Below are 5,734 nucleotides of genomic sequence, written 5' to 3'. Positions count from 1 at the left end.
ACTTGGAACACTTACAACATACTTGGAGCTCAATAAACGCAAATTATTTCATTACTGTTCACTCCACTCCCTCTTCCAAGGTTACATGTCTGCCATCTGTCAAGGGCTGAGCCATTTCAGGGGATAGCAGGGTGAAGAAGAAACCTCCCCATCATAGGACAACTCGAGTGATGTGTTATCATACAGATATGGCCGGAAGACTCAGATAGCTGGAAGAGGGGTTGCTCTTACTAGGCTGAACTGAGGTTCAGTGCAGGGTGGCTTCTGTTAGGGGGAGTGACAGGAGGCTGCGACTTTGCACAGGGTGCACAGCTTTTTATAAAGCTGAGGATAAGGAAGACAGGCATTCCAGGCAGAGGAGAGAATACAAACAGAAGGAGCTCTTCTCTGAAGGGAATTCCCACCCACACCAGGGGGGGAACAGAAGAGGAGGGAGGGGCTGAAAACTAATTCAGGGAACACCCTTCCGTTTGCCTCCCACTGGAATACAACAATTCAGTCCCTCTAATGCTGGTTCAAACCTGTGCACCAGACCTGGGGAAGGCTTCCATGGAGGGGCCCTGAAATGTCAGGTGAGGCTCAAGGAACTTGGGGCAGACAAGAACAGAATGGGCAGAGTGAATATCTTTCAAATGACAAGTCCATCCCTAAGGCCCCCACATGCAAAGAACCAGGTTCCCAGCACAGAGCCCATCTGTGGACCTCCAACTGGACAGACAGAAGGCCACCTATGGATCATAGAAGAATGGCTGTTATGGGGACATGTGGAGGCTCAGGTCACACATGGGGAACTGGGCTTTTCTCCCACTTTGTACCTCTGGTCCTATAGGCCAGGACTGGCTCTGCCTAGAAGTGGCTGCAGCCACAAACATGTCAGGCAGCCCTCTCCATCCCAAAAGTGTGTCTTATTATTAAAGCTCATACATCACACACTGAAGCAAATACCCGGCATGGGGGAATTGGAATCATTCAGCGTGGACCCAGATCCATCACCTTCTAAATCAGGTAGATCAGCCCGTGAATCAAACGCATCACCTCTGGATCCATTGGACTCCCAGTCAGATTAGATGCATCACCTATTGAATCAAATGCAACTCTGATTGAATCAGAAAATGCACCTCACCTAGTAAATCATCTAAATATTACCCACATTACAGGTTTGGAATGGCTGCCTCACCAATACATTTGAACAGACGACATGTTAAAGCTGCCGTAACATTTAAACAATTACCTGCAGAAACGAACTCAATACATCCGTCACTTGGGCTGGCAGATCAGCGTTTCCAGAGCAGAAGTCGCCGCCCAGATGCATGGGCTTTCCTTTCCCCTCCTTCTCCCAGCCACCCTCCTTCCCCACCGGCATCCTTTCTCCTCCAGAGACCAGCTGAGGTAGGGCAGGTGGGAGAGGTGGGGGCGCTCCACCACAGTCCCAAGGAGGCTGGCATGGAACCTAAGGCAGCAGAGCAGATGTGGGCCCAGCCGGCTGCAGACAGATTTTGCTTAACCTGCACAGTGCTTAAAAAACCATGAATGCTTCAAAATCAGAAGATTCACCATAAAAACTTGGATTTCTCGGCTTCTCTTAACAAAGTGAGATATGGCAATAATAAATCTGCATGCCCACTATCAGCTGAACCTAGCCAGAGTAACTATTGGCAGGTGTGGTTTCACATACATTTCTGTATCCTATCACGCAATGCTCAAAACAGCTTTATCAGAGTTTAGCGTAATAGACTATTACTATTTCCATTTGAGGAAACCACAGGCACAGAGTGGGGCAAGTGACTTGTCCAAACGCACAGCTGGGCAATGGTAGAGGCAGGTGCACAGCAGCCCACTGAGAGTGTTGTGGAGCCGTGGCTGCTGTGTGCTGCCAGGAAATGCGCTGCTTGGTTCACCTTGGTCCCAGCAGTCCTGGACAGTGAGGCCTAGTGTCGGGGCCTGTTCTTTGAGAACAGATTTACATCCTCCTGGTTTCCTCTGGGACATCACCTAGCTGGCCCTTGTGGGCATTTGTGTTTGTGACCCCATGTACAGATGGCGGGAAGAAAAGGTGCCCTCCTTCTCTGCCTTTGGGCTCATTCTGAGCAAGTCCTGGAGCACCTCGGCTCTCTTGCCCACAAGTGAGATCCTGCATCAGTGAAGAAATGAAAAACAAATCCCACAAAACCCCATTCTTTATATCATGCATCTGGTTCTCAAATGGTGGGTCATGACCTATTAGCTGGTGGTGAAGTTAATTTAGTGGGTTGAGGCCAGCATTAAAAAGTTGAGTGAATAAGAGAAGGGAAAGCGGAAGAAGGACTTGAGTGCCGAGGGGCATCTGCTGAGGACAGGCCAGGAGCGCCTGCAGTTCCAGAGCTGGGGACGGGTGGGAGACAGAATCAGACCAGGGCATGTGCAGAGCCACGTGCAGATGGCGGGTCCAGGGAGGGGTGGCCTGCAGATCCTGGACTGAAACAGGGACAAAGGACATGATGGGGCTGAGCCTCCATGAGGCTGTGCCTTATGTCCTGATCCCAGATGTCACCCGCCATCACATGGACCACAGTCTATTCTGTAAATTAGGCTCCGCTGTCTGAAGGCAGCAATATCAAAGGCTTTGTGGGCATAAAAGTGGACATTTTGGAAGCCACCGCTTAGCTGTGCCTGTGGTGATGTGAGGCCCTGGACGTTTCACAGACAGGACTGACACAGTCGGGTTCGCATTTTTTAAAAACTCACTGGCCAGCCACATGGAGATTAGGCTGAAGAGAGGAGAGGTGGGGGTTGGGGGAACATCAAGGGAGCGGGGAAAGGGAGGCTGGTCTCACTAAACCCCCATGCCGTTGTGTTCCACCCACCTCTCCAGCAGCCAAAGTCCCTTCCCCATGGTAGTGCCTATCAGAGCGGGCCTCAGCTCCAGACCCGTGTGTTATCTACAAGAAAATATGAGGCTGTACTGGCAGAACTGGAAGAAGCATTCATTGCACCGTTTTAAAGTTGCATCCTATGTACTATATTACCTTGAATATGGTGTCATATCATTCAATATGTAAATTTAAAAATAAATTCTGTCTTGCATTGTAAATGATACAATTACACTCTGTTGTATTTCTGTGAATATGTCAAGTGTTAATCTCTTAAAAGTTAACACTAAAAAATGATAGCAATAGCACGGTGTTTGAAACCTTGCTTTGTCTTTCTTTCTTTTTTTTTTTTTTTTTTAATGTACCAGAAGCTTGAGCAGGGAAGTGGCCCAGCCTTCTGCTCCCAAGAGGCCCTGCTTGGGCATTGTGGTGGTCAAGGCTGCCACGCTGGGCTCACCGAGACGGCGTGTCCTCTCTGTTAGGAGCATCTATGCTCCCGCCCCCACCCATTCCCAGCCTTTGGACTACAAACAAACCAAGTAAAATAAAGGTGACACTTCTAGACTGCATGGTCTTTGCGTATCATCTAGCTCTGGAAAACTTAGTAGAGATGACGGGTGGGTTTGCGAAGGAGGGCCTAGGAGAGGCCAGGCTCTAGGTCCAGGGAAGCTCAGGAGCAGCCCGGGGCTCTGTGGGGACTGCCCTGCGGTCCCTGGGAGCTTTGGCTGCCAATGCTGATTGCTGTGAGGCCACAGACAGGATGGAACCAGACCAGGGGCAGCATCCAGGCCATGAGCCCAGCCCGAGGGCTCCCCTAGACTGACCAGGAAGCAAAAGAAAAGGCTCCTGCATTCTCTGCAGGAAGCTTTACAAACTACGGTGGTGATGTCCAGTGTTCAGGTCGCAGAGCTGGACATCTCGCCCATGGCCAGGACACTTCTCCCCCAGCAAGCAGACACTGGCTGCTCCCCTCCCCTTCCTTTTTCCTCAGCTTGGGGGCCTGGTTGAGAGGGTGGGGACACTCCCTTGAAAAGTACACTCATCCTAGGCCACACCTTTTCTTGCTCTACTATATTCACTTTGCATGATGGATCCCTGCAAAGCTGGAACTCCCTCTGCAAAGAACCCCTTCCATCCCTTATCGGGCACTGAGGGATTTCATGGGAGGCGCAATGCCTCAATGCTTTCCATTAAGTGAATGCTTTGTAAGCTTCAAAACTTCTTTCTTAGACTACTAGCTCCACTTCCCCTTGTCCTCATCCTTACATTGATATAATAGGAGTTAGACTTTGAATATTTGTGATGAGAAGAGGCAAACTGATCCAAAAGCTGCCTGGGGTGAAAGAGTGCGTATCCTTAGTAATGGCAGCAACTGCATTCCTTCAAAGGCAACTGCACAGATGAGCAGGACCTGCATGATCCTGCCTGGACACTGTGGGTGAGTGTTGGGCTTGGCCGTCCTTTGTGGTCAGTTGGAGAACCCAAGTCCAGAGACTTTCTTGGGAGTCGGGGGCAGCTCATTGAAGTGTTTGTTTTGTTTTCTTTTTCATCTGGCATTCCTCCTGGCCAAAGAAAGTCAAAATGCTCTAATTCACAATCTCACTCCTCCAAACCAGCTTATTCCCCCTCCTACCACTTTGCCTCAGTGTCCTTGACTTTGGAAAAAGGCTCAGGAGCAATGTCTGTCCACTTCTACATTTCCATAGATAATGGATGGCGGGGAGAGCCTGTGAAAGGCATGCCAAGGAATGCTTGTGGCTGTGGCTGGAGGCAGGGCCCATGGAAAGCCTCTGGAAGCTTCTCCGTGGGTGCAGTGTCAGGAAAGAGGCCTCAGGTGTTTGGGCCTCTCCCATGCAGAGGCTTCAGTTTTGTGGAGGTGCGGCTGTCCCTCGGGGTTGCCCTGGCAGGTGGTTGCTCAGTCTTGACATTGGGTTTAAGCTGGGGTCTTGTCCTCAGCCCAGTGCTGCTCCAGTCCCAAGGTCCTCAAGGAGACCCTAGGAGAGGGCTGCTCCCGAAAGTCGTGCAAATGCATGCAGGGGGTATGTCCCAGACATGGGCGCTGGTGAACGACACACAGGCCAGCAGGAAGGACAGACAGGAGTGCTGGACAGTAAGGACAGTTAGCTGTGCAGGGGCCCAGCACTGGGCAGGACGCTGCGGGGGTTGGCAGGAGAAGCAGCAGGCAGGGCCACTGGCCAACATCAGTGAAGAGGAAACAGACAGGGGAGCAACAGGATCTTCATCCTAATGACTGAATGTAGTGGAGTCAGGCATGTCCTAAGTTCTTCTTATGTATTATCTTATCCAATTCCTACACCCCAAAGATATTGCTATTATTTTTATTTTTTCTTTATTTATTTATTTTGAGACAGAGTCTCACTCTGTCACCCAGGCTGGAGTGCAGTGGCGAGACCTCAGCTCACTGCAACCTCCACCTCCCAGGTTCGAGTGATTCTCCTGCCTTAGCCTCCTGAGTAGCTGGGATTACAGGTGTGCAACACCACGCCCGGCTAATTTTTGTATTTTTGGTAGAGATGGGGTTTCACTATTTTGGCCAAGCTGGTCTTGAACTCCTGACTTCAAGTGATCTGCCTGGCTCAGCCTCCCAAACTGCTGGGATTACAGGCATGAGCCACTACGCCCAGCCTTTTACTTTTATGCATGAGATAACTAAAACACTGGCAACTTAAATAACTTGTTCCCATTTTACAGGGTAAAAAAACTGAGGCTCAAAGTTATTTTCTTGTCTAACCAAGATCCCAGAGTTATCAGAGTGGTGAAGATGGGGTTTAAAATCCAAATATGTGGCCGGGCACGGTGGCTCATGCCTGTAATCCCAGCATTTTGGGAGGCCAAGGCGGGTGGGTCACGCGGTCAAGAGATTG

The 5,734-nt window shown here is 50.2% G+C and overlaps 1 annotated feature.

The window, feature by feature from the left end:
* Positions 4,844-5,344: an enhancer, noted in NCBI's record as "H3K4me1 hESC enhancer chr9:16322644-16323144 (GRCh37/hg19 assembly coordinates)". NCBI's record gives its function as "activates a minimal SCP1, AML or CMV promoter by ChIP-STARR-seq in naive H9 embryonic stem cells {active_cell/tissue: H9 hESC(naive)}" and the evidence as "EXISTENCE:reporter gene assay evidence [ECO:0000049][PMID:30033119]".

This window comes from Homo sapiens, chromosome 9 (assembly GCF_000001405.40).
Source record: "Homo sapiens chromosome 9, GRCh38.p14 Primary Assembly".
Classification (NCBI taxonomy): Eukaryota; Metazoa; Chordata; class Mammalia; order Primates; family Hominidae; genus Homo; species Homo sapiens.
The sequence above is the reverse complement of the archived record's forward strand: the minus strand, read 5'-3'. Positions and strand labels throughout refer to the sequence as shown.